Below are 20,972 nucleotides of genomic sequence, written 5' to 3' on the forward strand. Positions count from 1 at the left end.
AGTCTGTGATGTTTGCACAACAAAGAAATCAGGGAATTAGGCATTTCTCTGAACGTACCTGTTGTTAAGCAAAACATGACTGTACATATAATTCCAAGAAGTTAATTTCCTTGGTACTTGATGACAATCTTTTTTTTTTTTTTTTTTTTTTTTTTTGAGACACGGTCTTGCTCTGTCACCCAGGCTGGAGTGCAGTTGTGTCATCTCAGCTCACTGCAACCTCTGCCTCCTGGGTTCAAGAGATTCTTGTGCCTCAGCCTCGCAAGTAGCTGGGATTACAGGTGTGCACCACCATGCCTGGCTTATCTTTGTATTTTTAATAGAGACAGGGTTTCACCATGTGAACCCTGGCCTCAAGTGATCCGCCTGCCTTGGCCTCCCAAAGTGCTGGGATTACAGGTGTGGGCCACCGCGCCTGGCCTGATGATAATCTTTAATCATCATTATCTTTACAATAACGTTCTTGGATGATTTTTAAATCTGTCTCCTGTCCTATTCTTGGGGACATTTAATCATTATTGTTTCTAATGTAACCCTTTCTATATATAAGAAAGTTGTGATTCTGATGATCCATAAAAACTTCATCCTTTTCATAAAAAAGTCAACAATTCTAAAACATCCCTATTTAACCATTTTCCCTTAATGATGAACGTAACAGTTCCTTACCTCGGGTGCACCTGCTATTTTTAGTTGTAGCATTCCTTTTCTGTCCTTGTCTTCACTGTTTGAATACTGAATGGTTTGCACTTGAGTGAAGTCAGCAAGATGTGTGGGCTATAAAAAGGAAAGGTAAAATCTTTAGACTACGGATAAAAAACTCATTTCACAGAGTCTGTAAATGTTCTGTGAAATCCTCGTTGTCCTGAAGACATCCTCCCTAAGACTGGAGGTCTGGGGAAAAAAACAGATTCTCCATGCTGCCCCAGGGGAGCAGCCATGAGACTGTCTCCTGCACTTCAAGGTCAGGTACAGGTCTGCTCTCTGTGATGTGCTGAGGAGACCCATACATGAGTTGGATGAGTGAGAGTACAGTTACCACTGAGAGAGAACAGAAGATAAAGGAGGGAGGGAAGTTGAAGCAACCTTTGGCCTGACTCGTTTGCCAGCCTGGGAGGAATCTTATGGAATTCTTAGTCAAAGAGAACATTCTACTCCCATTCCCAAAGAAAGAGGGGATCTGGGATTAATCCCCATGCACCCTGGGCTAGAGTAAGTTCTGAAACTAACTGGAGATCTGTAGCTAGGGAGACAGTAGGTACCCAAAGGGCCCTTCCCAATACAGAATAACCTCTTAAGCCATGCCAGGAGAGTCTATGGTCATTTTCCTAAGTAGCATAAACTTTGGCTTCTTCTTTTTTTTTTTCTTTTTCTTCTATTACTGCTGCACAAATTAATAAACACTCTCCTTCTTAAAAAGAAAAAAAGATAGAGTTGGGAGCAATGGTTCACATCCATAATCCCAGCACTTTGAGGGGCTGAGGTGGGATGATCCCTTGAGGCCAGGAGTTCAAGCAGCCTGGGCAACATAGTGAGACCCTTTCTCTACCAAAAGAAAAAAAAAAATAACCAGGCATGGTGGTCTGTGCCTGTAGACCCAGCTACTCAGGAGGCTGAGTCTGCGCCACTGCACTCTAGCTTGGGCAACTCAGTGAGACCCTTCTTCAAAAAAATACATATAAAAGATACATGAATCTTCCATCCTTCTAGCATCTCATGAGGATGATCATTTTGCATGTGAAGATTCCTATACATTTCTTCAAAACAATTTGCTTGGTTAAGGCCACTCTGTCAGCTAATGCCCCTTCCCATTGCATGGCGAACAGATGATGCCACTAGAACGGAGTTGGAATTGTTCAGAAAGAGGTTCACACTGGGCTGCCCTTCCCAGCAAAGCATCTTCCTGCGCCGTTTGTAGAGACATGTGTTTTGCAGGGCTCCTGCCTTTCCCCGGGAGGCCACAGGCAGCCCTCCATTCTCTGGTCCCAGGCTTCTCATAGCATGTCCCACAGCCCCTCTGCATATTCTTCCCACTTATCCTCTGGGACATCCTGCCCTTTTGGGGTTTCTTCCACCTCACTGGTCTCTCTTTCCCAGTTCTTTTTACTGGCTTCTCCCCTACTCAATCTACAAATGTGAAAGGGCTGCAGGGCTCTGTGCTGGGTGGGCCCTGTTATTCCCCCTAGTTCTGCCATGGCAAAACAAATACCATACAGTCCTGGGGCGTTAAGTACCATCTCCAGCCCTGTCATCTCCCTGGAACTCAGACTCATGCATCCAGCTCCCTATATCATACTACCACATGGATGTCTGCAAGAGATTACTAACAACATAGTTAAAAGGGTACTCCCTCAAAACATGTTCTTCCTCCAGGCTTCTTGACTTCAATAAAAAGCATCATATTTGGCCGGGTGTGGTGGCTCATGCCTGTAATCCCTGCACTTTGGTAGGATGAGGCGGGTGGATCACGAGGTCAGGAGATTGAGACCACCCTGGCCAACATGGTGAAACCCCGTCACTACTAAAAATACAAAAATTAGCTGGGCATGGTGGCATGTGCCTGTAATTGCAGCTACTCAGGAGGCTGAGGCAGGAGAATCACTTGAACCAGGGAGTCAGAGGTTGCAGTGAGCTGAGATCATGCCATTACACTCTGCACAGAGCAAAACTCTGTCTCAAAAAAAAAAAAAAGAAGAGAAAAAAAAGATCATATTCAACAAGATTCCTGAGCCAAAAAAAAAAGGCATTCTCACTGATTCTTCTCCCTTTCCCCATTATCCAACCTCTCCACAAGTCCTGGCAACTTCAGCTCCAAACATCCAGAATTCATGTGTTTACTTCCCATCTTCACAGTTGTCACTATAGTCCAGGCCACCATATGATATTCTGCTTAGAGTCCTGCCATTTTTCCTAGTTTCCCTTCATCCATGCTACTATATAATGTCCCTACCTGAAAGCCAGATCATATCACTCCTCTGCTTAAAAAGGTACAATACAAAGCATCATAACTTGCATGATTTACATAGCATGATTTCTATGAGCAAACTGTCTACATGATTTGACCCCTGCCTGCCTCTCTGACCTAATTTACTGTCATGATCTTGTCTTGATGATATGTGCTCTAGTTTCGTTGGGGTAGAACCATTTCAGGGGGTGGGTTGTTTTTATAACCAAGGCTGCTAGATGTCACATGAAGCATGGGTAATTCCTGCACAATAAAAAATTGTCCTGCATCCTCGACGGCTTTCAAATGTCCTGGTGTGTATTTATGTCACTGAAAAATCTGACTCTAGAAACAAAGTCTGTTTAAAACCACAAAGTATGCTCTGCATTGAACTTTCCAGGAATGCAACTTACGCGTAATGCAAGGGAATCCTATACTATGCTGTTTTTGAAGTTTTATTAAGAGTTCCTCACCATTTTGGAGAATGACACCACCAAGGGCAAGACTTGCTATAGTTATTTTGGTCAGTGACAAAATGCACCTGTATCAGTTTGCATCTGTAGCTACTGCATGCACGTACGTAACAGAGGATGTCGGAGGCGCCTTCCAACAGACCGAGAGCTGAACATCATTATGTTGGTGGTGACACATGAAATGAGGAATACTATCTCAATTAGTCCTTGTTATTGCTATCTCATAATTAAAAAAAAAATTCGAAGGCACAGTAAGACATCTAGGTTATGGAAATTATATTTTTTAAAATTGTTTTTCTGCCTCACTCTGGCATTATTCCCCAAGGTCAGTCACATAACTTTTCCCTATCACTTTCCTACACCACTTGTATGGAGTGGCTTCTGATTGTTCTCCCTCCAATTAAAAGTCCTTACTAAGTAGGTGCGTCTGACTAGAGTGCCTTCCAATGTATTGTGCTAAACTTTAAGATATTGATAGAGATTTTAAAAAATTATTTGAGTAGGGGAATAACATGCTCTGTAATTTTAATTTCAGGATAGCAAAAGATAATTTAAAACATCTGTTATAAAGAGAACAGGGTTAAGAGGGGCTGGCACTGCCCACCTACTCTAAATCAAACACTCAGATACTCTCTCACGCCACCCTACTATAGCCCTTTAGCACAATCCCATTATTTATATTGCTTATTTTCTTCTTTATATTCTATTTTATAACTAGAAGGAAAGCCCCATGAGGATGGGAGTATCATGTCCACCTTGTCCACCACCAGATTACAAGGAAGCAGGGCCATGCCTGGCATGTAAGTGAATGAAGTATGAGAAGTTATTAGGTGCTAGACTGTGTTCCAAGTATCAGATATACAGCAGCAAACAAGGATAACATGAATCCAGACATTAAACAAACATTACACAAGTAAACCATTACAACTGTGATAAGGACTATAACAAAGCAATACACGGTGCTGTATAAAAATATCTAATTTATTGGAAAGGAGAGGAGGGAGGAAATAAAGCCTCAGAAAAAGTTTCACTGCGAAAAAGAGAACAAGACTTGAGCAACACGAGCTTAAGACTAGGTATATTACATTCAGATACAGTACTGCACCAGCAGAATCTAGCCTACCACCTAGCACAAGGCAGCTGCACACAATATATAAGCAAACTGACTAAGGTAACACTCAAGATAGGCATGTAAGTGGTCATTACAAGGGCAAAAAGAGAGGGAAAGAGCACTTGAGAAGGAGAATCTGAGATGTGCTGTTCAACTGGTGGCAGGAAGCCACACACAGCTATGGAGCACCCAGTGGTATGTGGCTCCTCCAGGCTGAGATATGCTGGTAGGGTACAATGCATGCCAGATTTCAAAAACTTGGAATGATAAAAATAAGATAAAGTCTCAAGAATTCTTACACTGACTATATCTTGAAATGATGATACATTGGATATACTGGATCAAATAAAATATATTAAAATTAATTGCACCTATCTTTTTATCTTTTTAAATGTGGTTACTATAAAATTTTAAATCACCTATGAGGCTTACATCGTATTGCTGTTGGACAGCACTGGAGAAGTCAAGTAAAGTAGATGAGGACTCAGAATTACCCAGTGGGCTTATCTACAGGAGGATCACTGTCATCATTGGCAAGGCATTGAGGGGTGGACGGTGGTAGTGTAATGGTAGTAGGCAGGAAAGGCCTGGTTGAAGCAGGTTGAAGAGGGAGTGGGAAGAATTAAAGACAATGCAGTTAGATAATCTGTCAAGAAGTTTTGCAATAAATGACACGAAAACATGAGGTACCAGGGAGAGAGAGGGACACAGGGCTAAAAGAGGGGATTTTAGGATGGGAGAAACTATACATTTTTCTATGCTGACAGGAACAATCCAGTATGTTAGAAATGTCTGCTGCTACAGGAAAGAGTGGGCAGAACTGAAGAATTACCATGAACAGGTAAGATGGGATAGAAGCCATTACATAGCAGAGGGTTGGTCTCATTCAGGAACATGAAGTTCACCCATGGGAGGCAGAACAAATGAGGAGGAGGAGTGTGGCAGGCAGAAATGTGAGAAGTGCAGTGCAAGGAATCTTCTGGGGGCTCTATCCTGATTGCTCCAATCTTGCTTTCTTCTACTTTATATAACTAATACCTCTTATTTCATAGGCACAGAGGTCCTTATAAACTCAAAAGGAAAACATATATTTTCAAGGAACATTTATAAAAATCATACGCTTGGCCATAAAGAAGATCTTAACAACTGTGAAACAGTTAACATTTAAAAATCATATTACCTGCTCATAAGCCAATATGAAATTTTTGGCTCATAATATGCTCATAGAAATAAAAATGAGATAAAACCCCAGGGCTACTTGAAACTTAAGTAATATTCTTCTAAATAATGCTATAATGAAAAAGAGAAATAAAAATAAAATTTTTGTTCTTGTTTTTTTTTTTTTTTTTTTTGAGATGGAGTCTCACTCTGTCGTCCAGCATGGAGTGCAGTGGTGTGATCTCAGCTCACTGCAATCTCCACCTCCCGGGTTCAAGCGATTCTCCTGCCTCGGTGTCCTGAAGTAGCTGGGACTATAGGCGCCACCACGCCTGGCTAATTTTTGTATTTTTAGTAGAGACGGGGTTTTGCCATGTTGGCCAGGCTGGTCTCAAACTTCTGACCTCAGGTGATCCACCTGCCTCAGCCTTCCAAAGTGCTGGGATTACAGGCATGAGCCACGGTGCCTGGCCAAAGATAAAACTTCAAATGAGTATACAGAAATACAATGGAAAGAAGAATACCACATACCTAGAAAGGTAAGACATATTAAAAGTTGTGCAAGAAGAAAATGGCCTCCAAAGTAAACAAGAATACATTTTAAAGATGCACTTAAAAGGGAAGAGCACAATAAAAAAGACAAAAATAATGAAGATACTACAAAAACAGAATGAAGAAAAATACTGAAATCAATGAAAATGAATAGTACTGCTGCAATACATCACTAAACTTGTCCTTCAAAAAACAATTAGAATAGACAGACCTTTACAAGTCTGAAAAAGAGCCAAATCAAAAGAGCTTAGGCATGAAACAGGAATATAGAGACAAAGTTACTGGAAAGATTTTAACAGATCTATGAGAGGCAACTCTATGGCAGCAAGATGAAAATGTAGAGAAATGGATAATATGCTAAATTACCAAAGCCGACACAAGTGGAAAATGTGGATAGATCGATTACTATTAGGCCAGGCACAGTGGTTCACGCCTGTAATCTCAGCACTTTGGGAGGCTGGGGTGGGCAGATTACTTGAACCCAGGAGTTTGAGACCAGCTTGGGCAACATGGCAAAACCCCCTCTCTACAAAAAAATACAAAAATTAGCCGAGTGTAATGGTGTGTACCTGTAGTCCCAGCTACTTGGGAGACTGAGGCAGGAGAACTGCTTGAGCCCAGATGGCAGAGGTTGCAGTAAGCCTTGATCGTGCCACTGAATTCCAGCCTGGGTGACAGGGTGAGACCGTGTCTCAAAAAAGATCTATTACTTTTGAAGTGATTAAAAAGATAAACACCTGCCGTTTAAAAAGGCATCATGTTGTTACGTAGATCAGTTCTACCTAGTCTTTAAACAACATGCAATTCCAATTTGAATTAAAATATTTCAGGCCATTAAAAATCACCAGAGAGAGGGAAGGCACTGAGAATGGATGAAGGAAAGACACAGAAGCTGGGCTGAAGGGGGAGGAAGCTGGGAACCCTGCAAGAGGCTACCACACACCAAGACTCATTCCTGGCCCACAATTACCCTGGGGGAATGGGTGAGTGGAACTGGCAAGGAGCAACCTGCTCTCACTACAGGCCTCTTAAATCCGAGCAGGGGGCCCCTCAACTACTACGGACACTTGAGGTGGCAGGGAGAGCTGCTTAGAGAAGTGCTAGGGATTGCAGCCAGCTGAGGTGGAGCCCAGAGGGTTTGGTGCAGGAGCGTCTGTAGTGGAACATGGCCAGGGAAGCCCTGACTTGCTCCCATAAGAGACTTTAGCCCTAGGGGAACTGTTGGACCTGAACTCTGCAGGGTGGGCTTACCTATCAGAAGGGGGTTAGTCTGACCTGAGCACCCCTTGGGCTTCTGGCTTCTCCTGGGGTCCCAGCCTGAACGAGCCTGCTTGCAGGGTAGCCTTGGGTGCCCTGGGGCCCACATCATAGCCCCTGCAGTGGCTGACCGCTTCTGACCAGCAGAGAGCTCCCACGGGGCAGCCTCCATTGCCACACACCAGCCCACCCGCTCCTTCCTCACACTGCAGGTTCCTCTAGCCCACAGCAATTCCCAACAGAGTTTTGCTGGCACCTGTGTACGCAGGCAGGTATTGCCTTCCGTGCCTCACCAGTGCACATGTGCACGCAACCCCAAAACTCACCCATGCCTGACAGCCACCTCAGTCGGAGCCTTGGCAGGCACAGAGCCAACCAGCCCTGTCCCCACTGCCAGCACCCCATGCTTATGTCAACATTATCCCAAGAGTGAAAGCAGGCACAGAGAATAGCAGATTCTCCCCTACCCACAGCAAACACCTATGCTTACAGTGCACAGGGTGCACACACAGACCTGGGCCTGCCAGCAACCCAACCCTGTGCTACCACCACCACCAGCACCAATGCTGCACAGTTGCCAACAGGCAACCCCCCACCCAAACCGTGCTGCTACTGCCACTGTAGTGAATGCTCAAATGGAGACAGGCACCCCAGTACCCACTAGCAACCTGCCGGGCTGATGAGCGTGCATCCCAGTGTGCTGCCACTGCTGCTGGCACATGGAAACAAGGGCGGATCCTATGCCACCACACTGTGAAATGCTTTGGCTGACACCACCCATTGGAGTGTAGTGACCAGTGGTCTGGGAGCACCCCTACCCCCAACACTCCACAAGTGCAGTGGATTCCTAACCTCCAGGAGCCAGAGAACAAAGTTGCAGCCCAATACCAGTCTCCCAGAATTAGAGCACACAGTCCAGGAGTTGGGGGCTGGGCACTGGTCCCCTAAAATATTCCAGAAATGCAGCCAGTCAGTTGAGTCCACCTTACCACAATCAAACCCTCAAGGTCATCAAATAGGATAAACAAACAAACAAGCAAAAATACAAAGGTCAGCAACTTCAAAGGTTGAAGAAACGTTGGCCCAAAAGATGGAAAGAACCACTGCAAGAAATCTAACAACTCAAAAAGCCAGAGTGCCTTCTTTCCTCTAAATGACCGCACCACCTCTCCAGCAAGGGTTCTGAACTGGGTTGAGATGGCTGAAATGACAGAAATAGAATTCAGAACATGGATAGGAATGAAGATCATTGAGATGTAGGAGTACACTGAAACCCAATCCAAGGAAGCTAAGAATCACAATAAAACAATACAGGAGCTGAGAGAAAAAATAGCCAGAATAGAAAAGAACATAATCAACCTGATGGCGCTGAAAAGCACACTACAAAGATTTCATAATGCAACCGTAAGTATTAATAGCCTAACAGACCAAGTTGAGGAAAGAATTTCAGAGCTTGAAAGCTGTCTTTCTGAAATAGGAGTCAGAAAAGAATAGAGAAAAAAGAATGAAAAGGAATGAAGAAAGCCTCTGTGAAATACGGGATTATGTAAAGAGACCAAATCTATGTCTCACTGGTGTCCCTGAAAGAGCTGGGGAGAGTGTAAGCAACTTGGAAAACATGTATCAGGATATGATCTATGAAAAGTTCCCCAACCTAGCTAGAGAAGTCAACATTCAAATTTAGGAAAGGCAGAGTAAGATACTACACGAGAAGATCATTCCCAAGACACATCATCATGAAATTCTTCAAGGTGGAAATGAAAGAAAAAATGTTAAAGGAAACTAGAAGGGCCAGGTCACCTGCAAAGGAAGGCCCATCAGATAAACAGCAGACCTCTCAGTAGAAACTCTACAAGCCAAAAGAGATTGGGGGCCAACATTCAACATTCTGGAAGAAATTCCAACCTGAAATTTTATAATTCCAGCCAAACTAAGCTTCATAAATAAAGGAGATATAGGATCCTTTTCAGACAAGCAAATGCTGAAGAAATTTGTTACCATGAGACCTGCCTTACAAGAGCTCCTGAAAGGAGCACTAAATATGGAAAGGAAAGACCGTTACCAACCATCACAAAAACACAGACCAGTGACACTATAAAGCAAACACACAAACAAGTTTGCCTAATAACAAGCTAACACCATGATGGCAGGATCAAATCCACACATATCAATACTAACCTTGAATGTTAATGGGCTAAATGCCCCCATTAAAAGACACAGAGCTGGATAAAGAACCAAGATTCATTGGTATGCTGTCTTCAAAATACCTATCTCACATGCAATGACACACATAGGCTCAAAATAAAGGAATGGAGAAAAATCCATCATTCAAATGGAAAACAGAAAAAAACAGGGGTTACAATCTTAATTTCAGACAAAACAGACTTTAAACCAACTCAGTTAAAAAAGACAAAGAAGGGCATTACATAATGGTAAAGGGTTCAATCCAACGAGAAGGCCTAACTATCCTAAATATATAAAAAAACCAAACAGCAGCACTCATTATTAATAAGCCAGATTCTTAGAGACCTTCAAAGAGACTTAGACTCCTACACAATAATAGTGGGAGACTTTAACACCCCACTGACAATATTACGTAGATCACTGAGATGGAAATTAACAAACATATTCATGATTTGAATTCAACATTGGATCAAATGGACCTGACAGACATCTATAGAACTCTCCACCCCAAAGCAACAAAATACACATTCATCTCATCACCATACGGCACATACTCTAAAATCAATTATATAATTGAACACAAAACACCGTTTAGCAAATGCAAAAGAACTGAAATCATAATAACCATTCCCTCAGAGCACAGCATGGCCAAATTAGAAATCATGACTAAGAAATTTGCCCAAAACCACACAATTATATGGAAATTGAATAAACTGCTCCCGAATGACTTTTGGGTAAATAATGAAATTAAGGCAGAAATCAAGAAGTGCTTTGAAATGAATGAGAACCAAGACACAATGTACCAGAATCTCTGGGACACAGGTAAGGCAGTGTAAAGAGGTAAATTTGTAGTACTCAGCAAATGCAAAAGAACTGAAATCATAATAAACATTCTCTCGGAGCACAGCACGGCCAAGTTAAAAATCATGACTGAGAAATTTGCTCAAAACCACACAATTACATGGAAATCGAATAAACTGCTCCCAAATGACTTTTGTGTAAATAATGAAATTAAGGCAGAAATCAAGAAGTGCTTTGAAATGAATGAGAACCAAGACACAATGTACCAGAATCTCTGGGACACAGGTAAGGCAGTGTTAACAGGTAAATTTGTAGCACTAAATGCCCACATCGAAAAGTTAGATCTCAGTTTAACAACTTAAGATCACAAAAAAGAACTAGAGAACCAACCCCAAACTAGAAGAAGAGCAAACCAACCCCAAAACTAGAAGAAGAAAAGAACTAACCAAAACCAGGATGAATTGAAGGAGAGTGAGATGGAAAAACCATTCCTGCCTGTTGCTAAACCAAAACCAAGAGTTGTTTTTTTAAAAAAAAATTAATAAAATAGACCACTACCCAGATTAATAAAGAAGAGAGAAGACCTAAGTAAACACAACTAGAAATGAAAAGGGGGATGTTACCACCAACCCCACAGAAATACAAATAACTATCAGAGAATCTTAGGAACACCTCTATGCACATAAACCAGAAAATCTAGAAGTTATGGATAAATTCCTGGGCATATAAACCCTCCCAAGACTGAGCCAGGAAGAAACTGAAGCCCTGAAGTGACCAATAATGAGCTCTGAAATTGAATCCGTAATAAATAGCCTACCAACCCAATAAAGCCCAGCACCACATGGATTCACAGCCAAATTCTACCAGACGTATACAGATGAGCTGGTACCATTCTTACTAAAACTATTCCAATAAACTGAAAAGGAGGGACTCCTCTCTAACTCATTCTATGAAGCCAGAATTATTCTGATACCAAAACCTGGCAGAGACACAACAAAAATAGAAAATGTCAGGCCAATATTATTGATGAACATAGATGCAAAAATCCTCAACAAAATATTAGCAAACCAAACCCAGCAGTGGCACATCAAAAAGCTAATCCACCATGATCAAGTAGGCTTTATTCCTGGGATGCAAGGCTGGGTCAACATATGCAAATCAATAAATGTGATTCATCACATAAACAGAACTAAAAACAAAAACCACAGGATCATCTTGACAGATGCAGAAAAGGCTTTCAATAAAATTCAACATCTCTTCATGTTAAAACACCTCAATGAACTAGGCATTGAAGGAATGTACCTCACAATAATACATAAAATAATAAGACAGTGTAGCAATTCCTCAACACCTACAAACAGAAGTACCATACAACCCAGCAATCCCATTACTGGCTATATACCCAAAGGAATATAAATTGTTCTTTTTTTTTTTTTTTTGAGACGGAGTCTCGCTCTGTTGCCCAGGCTGGAGTGCAATGACGAAATCTCGGCTCACTGCAAGCTCCGCCTCCCGGGTTGATGCCATTCTCCTGCCTCAGCCTCCTGAGTAGCTGGGACTACAGGCGCATGCCACCACGCCCAGCTGATTTTTTGTATTTTTAGTAGGGACAGGGTTTCACCGTGTTAGCCAGGATGGTCTCCATCTCCTGACCTCGTGATCCGCCCACCTTGGCCTCCCAAAGTGCTGGGATTACAGGTGTGAGCCACCGCGCCCGGCCAAATTGTTCTTTTATAAAGACACATATACATGTACGTCTAATGCAGCACTATTCACAATAGCCAAGACATGGAATCAACCTAAATGCCCATCGATGGTAGACTGGATAAAGAAAATGTGGTACATGCACACCATGGAATATTATGCAGCCAAAAAAAAAAAAGAATGAGATCATGTTCTTTGCAGGAACATGGATGGAGCTGGAGGCCATTATCTTTAGCAAAATAACACAGGAATAGAAAACTAAATACTGCATCTTTTAGCTCCCACTTATAAGGGAAGCTAAAAGATGAGAACACAAGGACACACAGAGGGCAACAACAGACACTGGGGCCTACCAGAGGGTGGAGGGTAAAAGTGGGGAGGGGATTGGGAAAAATAACTAATCAGTACTAGGATTAATACCTGGGTGACAAAGTAATCTGTATGATAAACTGTGTGACACGAGGTTACCTAGATAACAAATCTGCCCATGTACCCCTGAGCTTAAAAAGTTTTTTTAAAAAAAAATCACTGAAAGATTCCAATTCACCTAATGAAATTAATATAACTTTAACACCATGTCTAATAAAGTTAACATAAAAAAGTCTAGATTAATCTCACAAATAGTTGCAAAAATTCTACAAATATAACTCAATATTTTAAAAGAATATTGTATATTATTAATTGGCTCAATATTATCATAACTATTAATATAATCTACTATAATGATAAAGGAGAAAAAGGATCATATCAATAGATGCTAAAAGGGTCTTTGATTAAATTTAGGAGCTACTCATAAAACTCTAAGCAAAAGATAAAAATATTAAAGACATGTTATTAAAACTCAACAATAAAAACAATCCCAAATAATGACACACTTTTAATTGATAAATTAAAATCTAAAACAAAATAGGAATATTGTCTACTGCCCTGTTATTAAACATGATCTTTGAGCTTCTTGTGACTGAAGGAAAAAATTGTATGTGGGGAAAGGTAAAATTATTCTTTTGCTGATTACATTATTATACACTTATAAAATCCAAAATTCTAATAAAAAACCTGTTCAATCAATAATAAGGTTGCAGACTGTATGTTAAACAATAATCAAGAATATCTTCTATGCTCACAATATAAATTTTAAATTGTAAGTGGCAAGAAAAACCCCAAAAAGTCATTCAACATAAGGCCCAAAACTATAAAATACTTATGAATTGGTTTAATATGGAAGACCTATCTGAAAAAGATTGAGATCTTATTGAAGGGTATAAAAGAAGTCCTGAAACACAATATCAAAAAAAAAGCACTTTCACAAAATTTCACAAAAATTTATTCTGTTTTCCTCTGTGAATATCCAGCTGACACAGCAGCATTTAATGAGATTTAATCAGTGATGGCAGAAGTCAGGACAGTGGTCATCCTTAGGATGTGGGACAAGGGAGGCCGGTCTGTTTAAAGTCAACAGCCAACAAGAGATTTGGGGAAAAAAATCATAAAAAAGGTAACAGGAAAACACACTGATTTCCTTGATGTGTAAAGGGACTTATTAATTTAAAAGGACAATTGTGTTGGTAAAATAGGCAAAGTACATGATATGAGCAGTTAATTCACAGAGGTGAGAAGAAAAACAGTCAAGACATGAAAATATGTTTAAAGTTACTAGGTCCTTGCTTTACATCTAAGTGAGCAAAAAAGTTACAAGAATAACTTTGTATCTATTAAAATGGAAAAATTAAAAGAGCTATTAAAACTGCCATCCAATGAGTGCGAAAATAGTACTCTCACACACTGCCAGTGACAATATGAAGTTTCCTAGCTTTTCTGAAAAGCAATCCAACAGCTTCTTTTAAAATTACAACTATTTGAAACGAACCCTGCAGTTCCATCCTTGGAAATCTCTTCCACAAGGAGAAAAAGCAGTAGTACATAGATTATATATAAAGGAGTATTTATTATGTCATTGTCTTGGGGCAGAAATCTAAAAGCAAAGTAATTGCCCTTCACAGAATCCCATCTGGCCCCCAGGGAGGAAGGGGCAAAGAAAGGCGGGGCTTGAAAAAATTTCTACCAGGTTCACAGAGTGAAATAACCAAGTAGGACAGTGTGCCTGATGATGACCCCTTTTCTGAATAACAAAACAGGAATATGAGGAAAAACACAGAAGATTACTAAATCACTTACATGTTAAGTATGGGCAGGGGGTGGGGGGTTACAGAGAAGGCTGAAGAGAAAAGAATGGTAGAGGCAGGAGCTGAGCAGAGTGGGAATGGAAACCAGAGTACACTTGGAAAAAAGCAGGTCAGACACGGTTTGGCACATTTATATATGTATAGGAAATTATATGTACAGGTCAAGGTATGAATAAATTAAGTAAAAAGTTCAAATCACTACACTATGTTAAGTGGAAAAGAAATGTTACTAGTGCAAGGCCTGAGAAGAAGCCCCTAGAATCATGTTCCCTGAACACTCATCTAAATGGGAGCATGCCCTTCTCAGTACACCCACCCTCACACTGTTCTACTTTTCATCTCGGTACTTATTGTTGTATGACACAGATGTATTCCATATTTATTTTGTGCACTCAACTATAAGCTACATAAAGACAAAGGACTTCTGTTTTGTTCCTTATTGTATCTCAAACCTCTAGACTGCCTGGCACCAAGCAGGTTCTCAATAATACTTGTTGGAAGAATGAGGATCACACAGGAAATGGTCAGCACTTCTGCTAGGAAGATAACAAAAGAAGTGAGGTGTGGGGTAGAAGTGTGAGTTTCCATCTGATGGACATTTTTTCTTCGAGGTAAATAAGGTTAATAAGGCTTTCAAGAGAATTGTGAATGTATAATTTTTTTTTTTCCTGGAAATAACCTGAAGAGGCTGTTTCAAAGGGTAAGATGCCAGTACAAATATACCCAAATCATTCAGAACTTAATTTTAAAAATTAGTATTTAAAACTTCTCCAGATAAACAGTAACAACCCCATTCAGGTCTCACTAACACATGTTAGGTTTGTATGATTCCTTTCCTTCCAAAACTAAGTAATTCCGAGGTATTTCAACAGCACCTAGACTTTCTCTTACTTGTCCCCCACTCCACTGAACAATAAATGCAGTGCAATAGGAAAATTTAATTGTAAAATGATCTTTTCCAAAAGAATGCCCCATTTCCTTAATTTGATTCTTCTTTGTGTAACGCCAAGTTCCCGAAAGGTCAGAGCAGACTTACATTGCAGCCCTTGTCCGTTAGGTAACTGATTCCTTCTTCTGGGCCGATTGCCAGTTCCACTGAAATAATCCAGCTTGACTTTTGAAGGTGAAACAAGTGAGAACAGAGGTGGCAGAAGGAAAAAAGAAATACTTTAGATAAAGAGCCGTGGATATGTTAAAGGACCAAAGCAGGGGCTGGTTTGGTTTGCTATTAATCTATCTAACCAAATAAGATAAAATATTTATAACTTCATTGACCCAGGATGTGTTAAGCCTGCACAAAGTGCACTGTGCTTATTCCAGCATGCCTGATGCCAAGGGTTTCTCTGGGATGATTATCTAAATAGGTAAACTAGCCCTTAGAGAACAATTAACAAATCACAGGGATAAAATTTTAAAAACCTAATTATGAAGCTAGGCATGCTGTTTTTAAAAAGGTGATTTTATTCTCACATTAATTATTTTCTTTTTCTATTTTTCACATGGTAAAATGAAAAAATATCATTTTATTGAAAAAAATGGGACAAGTTAGCATTTTTTCATCAGAAATTTAGATATACAGCAAGAGACAAGAAAAAGTAAAATCAAACTAGCCCACTATTTCCCATATTCCCATACTTACACCAAGAGCACACTTGAAGCATTCCTTATCAAATCTGTAGACTGGAGACAGGATCTCAAAGAATTTCAGAATACTTTCTTCTCTATTAAGGTTGGCAAATTGTCTAAATGTTTGTTGGATCAGTTTTCTTAGTGTTTTGGCCTGCATGACAAAATTACCAAAACATCTTGTAAAAATCAGCAATGAGTAAAGACCACAACAATAATGGTAAGATTTCTTTCCTACCAACTACTTACTAACACCTACATTCAAATTACTGCCAAAAAGTATACTTGTCAAATAACTATAAATGTATTTATCAAAGCTTTATTCTTTTAATTGTGGCAAAATGCATATAACACAAAATTCACCATCTTAACCATTTTTAACTGTAAAGTTCATATATAGAGTTTTATTTCTTAAACAGAAGTTTGTACTATATGTGCACATGACTCAGAAAACACCAGGCCAAAGGTATAAAGGTACTTGCACATTCCACTGTTAGGAGGGAAAAAAACAGTATATCTTTCTGAAGGAAAGCACAAATCAAAAACTTTAAAAAAACCACAATGCTTATCCATAAAATAAAATTCCAGGACATTATTCTTTAGAAATGATTAGAGATACATGCAAAGATTCAGGAACAAAAAGATTCACTGCAGAACTGTTTACAGTAATAGAGAGCCTGGTTACGTAAACTATGGTGTATCTATCTTCTCAACCAACATTCTATGCAGCCTCAAGAACTGTTTTGGAGAACTAATCTACTGGCATTAAAACCCATATTACATTGTTACATGAAAAAAGATGACAAAACAGTCAGCATGGAGTACAGATGCCTTTAAAAGGCAAGAGCACACGTGTGGGTCCTGGTGAGCACACAGCAATGTACCCATGAAGGAGATAAAGCAACGATGCTTTTGCTTTTTTCATGAAGTAAGATGATAGGTGGTCTTCCAGTCCTTTTTCGCTTATTTGAGTTTTCTACTTAAACACATGGAAATCTGCATAGCAGAGGTAAATGCTTTCCAAGCAGCAAACCCCCAGTCCTTGGTGTGTGAAGCAGTCTGAGAAGGCCATGGATAAAGGGAATGTGATGAGGTCTAATGAAGAGGGGCAAGAGAATGTAGGCCATAGTTAACAAGTTGGCTTTGACTCTGATGAGATGCCAAGCCCTCAGGAGACTTTGAGAAGAGGAGTGACTTTATCTGACTTTGGTTTTTTTTTTTTTTTTTTTTTTTTTTTTTTTTTTTTTTTTTTAAATAGGGTCTCACTCTGTCGCCCAGACTGGAGTGCGGTGGCGCAACCTCGGCTCACTGCAACCTCTGCCTCCCAGGCTCAAGCGATTCTCCTGCCCCAGCCTCCCTGAGTAGCTGGGATTACAGGTGTGCACCACCACACCTGGCTAATTTTTGTATATTTAGTAGAGACAGGGTTTCATCATGTTGGCCAGGCTGGTCTTGAACTCCTGACCTCAAGAGATCCACCCGCCTCAGCCTCCGAAAGTGCTGGGATTATAGGCATGAGCCACCGCACCCGGCCTGAATTATGTTTTAACAGGGATACTCTGGCCACTGTGTTGTGAACAGTATGAAAGGAGCAGGAGAGACCAAGTCAGGGCAACCCAAATAATCCAGGCAGGAGGAGACAGATGGCACAAGTACAGAACCAGAAAGAGGGTGAGAAGTAGTCAAGTAGTCAGACCCTACCTTTCTTTCTTCTTCTTTTTTTTTTTTTTTTCCAGAGTAACTGGACTCCAATGGATTTACTTTAAACATAGAACCAACAGGATATGCTAATAATTAAGAGTTGCCATTAAACTGAAATGGCAGAAATTGTGAGAGGAGCAGTTTGGTGGGTAAAGGTCAGAAAGAATGCCAGAAGAATACCAGAAATCCAAGTGGAGCTGTCAAGCAGGCCAGTAAGGGCCCAGTGGAGTTCAAGGGGAGGTCCTGGCTGGCCCAGCAGACAGGGAAGATGGATTAGGTGACCTGCTAATCTCAGTGGGTCAGGGACATGGGGAGCAGCCAGGGGCCCAGGTTGAGGTGTGGCTGCTAAGTCAGGTACACCGTAAACTAGGAGGGCATGGCATACTTTGGTGGGGTCATGGAGGTAATAGCCTGTCTGTAGTGGCTTGAAGGTCCTAGTAGGATCCAAGGATTACTGGATCTGGGATACTACAGAAAGTGAGCTGGAAAGACAGGAGCTATGGTCAGAGAGAAGGATACACACAATTAGGGAGGGGGTTCGATTACTGGAAATGAATAAGACCAGAGTGAGAGGTTGAGGTAAGGCAGAGGACAAGATTCCTGAAGACAGGAATTCAATGAGCCAAGATAGTGGAACATGGGAGGATTACCTAAGGCATGTGACTTTTATTTTAAAAAGCTCGCTCTGCTCTTGCACACAGAGGGTTGGGGGAGTGTGTAGGAGTGAAAGCAGAAAGACCAGTCAGGTCACTGTAACAGATCAAGCAAGAAAACACTAGTGGCATGGACCCCAAGGTAGTGGTGAAGAAGAGAAATGGGCACTTTTGGGACATTTGGATGATCATATGCAAGACAACTGGAAAGTAAAGAATCCAGGAAAAGTAGAGTTTTAGATGGAACAAACAGGCAAACATAAGAGGCAGGCTTGGTGAAAAAAATAAAGTCATGTTAACCCTGTACATGTGTTTGACCTTGAAGTCTTCCAACATGAACCATCAAGGAGACATTTGGATCTAAGTCTGGAGCTCAGGAGAGGGCAGCACTGTTGCTAGAAATTTCAGAGCCACCAGCTGAAGTATTTAAATACATGGGACTAGATGGCACCTGCAAATAAAATGAAGACAAAAGAGAAGGCCAAAGCTAAGTAAGCTGACCAATAGTTGGTTTTAACCAGGGCTGAGGTTTTGACAGGTGAGTATGACAGAGTGGAATAAGAGAATTATAGCTGTTTTGAAAAGGATTAATTACAGCTTCACAGAACTTAAACTGAAGAGCAATAAAATGGGTTCAAGGTTAGCAAGGCTTGACTATAAAATGTATCACATGGAAAGTGAGGTGGTCAGCCTCAGATGCTCTATAAACAAAAGTCCGAAAAGCATATTCTTGGTTTGACTCCAGGCTTTCTAAACATTCTCTGCTTATGATCACCTATGTAGGACAGACTCTACAACAGAGCATGCAGATTGGACATGGAGATTTGAGTACTGCTTGTAGCCACCTACATGATGTTTTTCTCCTTATAAATTAACAATATAGTACCTTGGGACTTTGCTGAATATAAAGCAGTCTCTAAGAAGCAGGCCCGCTACACTCTGGACCTAGAACAAATCCACTAAGGAAATTCTACTCTGTGCTTGGCACTTGGCATACACTGCATAATCAGAACAGGTATCTATTCTCAATAAATTCAGAGTACAGCTGGAAAAAGAGCATTCTGATCTTCATTCATGGCTACAGGAGGAACAGTATAATTCTGTGCATATAGTGCTATTAGGCGCTGATTCACACACACACACACACACACAAACACACACACACTACCAAAAAATGATACCAGAAAAGACATCTGTAGGCCCTTCCGTGGAAATAAACAAAGTCTTCACAATGACCCTTGCAAGGGAGATACTATTTTTCATATATTACTGAGCAAACAGAGACTGAAACATTAGGTAACAACGAGGGGGTACAAGAATTGTGATTCTAATCCAGAACTACTTGATTTCTTTTTACTTGCTATGAGACCAATTCAAACACCTCCTTTTCTAAGATGCTCTGCTTGATAGAAGAAACCAGGAAGAAACAACCACCACATCCCTATGGGTCTCATACTGCTTTGAATGTATTTTTAGACATGGCACTTATATAAGATCCACGTTGGTGATAAGGGAGCATGCACTGCCTTGTTACCCCAAAGAAAAGAGTATAGCCCGCAGCTGAAACTCAATGATGTGCTTTTACAATGAATAATTACATGTCTCTGCCATAACAACTTGGATTCTGGCAAACTCTCAAACAGATAATATGGATGAATAAAATCTAGTTCTATCCTGTGATAAATTAGGTTTCACTTTCTAGTAAGTAAGTGGGAAGACAGTTCAGATTTCTTTAGTTTCAAACTTCTATCATAGAACATGCTGCCTCAATGTACAAATGCTCTGAGTGTAAGAAATGTCTCCCATCTACAAGTATTAATAGAAAATAAGTCCAGCAAAAGCCCTGGAATATAAAAAAATCTCTTTAAGTGTATGATACAATAAATTGGAATATGGTAGCAGTTGCAAGGAACAGTTGTCAACTGAACACAGGGACCAGAACACAATGACAAAACATTTCTATTAACATTAACCAAATGTTGGTATATTCATTCATGACTCTAAGAGGAATATTTCAACTCAGGTAAATACTGACATGCAGTGATCAAAAATTATGTAAAATAGGTACAGAAAAAAAGTCAATTCTCTACTTTGTACCTAATTCCCAACCAGCTGCTGGTTTATATATAAATTATTGGCAATATTATAATATACTGACACCTGCTCATTTGTTCAATGCTTTTTAAAATTAACCTAAAACATTCTATGAAGTAACGGAGATAGAAGTCGAGGAAACAGAATCTGCTCTTGAGGTTAAAATGCATATATATATATACACACCTGCCTACCTGACAGTTCCACTGCAGTTTCTCACAGACATCTAAAACCTGCCACTAAGAGCACTGAGATTTCAGCCGTGGTGGCTTATTGGCCCTACCCGACTGGACCCTAACATATACATCTAACTTGGTTGCAACTCTATCACTCTGAACTTACTCTTTCCTATACCCCTTCCCTTTGACCCCCATAGTCTCCAGGCACTTCTAGTTCACTACTTACACAGCTGAATGCATCACGGGCAGTCCCACCCAGTTCAGATTCTGCTTCAATATTGTCTCTTGACTAGTAGCACTAGACAGCACTTAAGTGTATGGGACAGAAATCTGAGGCCAGGCCCTGTATTTTCTT

At 40.6% G+C, this 20,972-nt stretch overlaps 1 protein-coding gene across 173 annotated transcripts in view; it reads right to left on the reverse strand.

The window, feature by feature from the left end:
* PTK2 (protein tyrosine kinase 2) overlaps positions 1–20,972 on the reverse strand; it is a 344,180-nt gene that overhangs the window by 144,977 nt on the left and 178,231 nt on the right. For 152 of the 173 annotated variants that reach the window (NR_148038.2, NR_148036.2, NR_148037.2 and 149 more), the window contains 3 exons: positions 16,004–16,144; positions 15,401–15,478; positions 667–774 (listed from right to left, as the gene is read on the reverse strand). Coding sequence is in view for 165 of the 173 variants with exons in the window: in NM_001352699.2 (NP_001339628.1) it covers positions 667–774; positions 15,401–15,478; positions 16,004–16,144 (327 nt within the window). In the remaining 8 variants the exon portion in view is untranslated. The remainder of the gene's footprint in view (positions 1–666; positions 775–15,400; positions 15,479–16,003; positions 16,145–20,972) is intronic. The other 21 variants (NR_148039.2, NM_001352746.2, NM_001352745.2 and 18 more) reach the window with 1 other exon arrangement.

This window comes from Homo sapiens, chromosome 8, assembly GCF_000001405.40.
Source record: "Homo sapiens chromosome 8, GRCh38.p14 Primary Assembly".
Classification (NCBI taxonomy): Eukaryota; Metazoa; Chordata; class Mammalia; order Primates; family Hominidae; genus Homo; species Homo sapiens.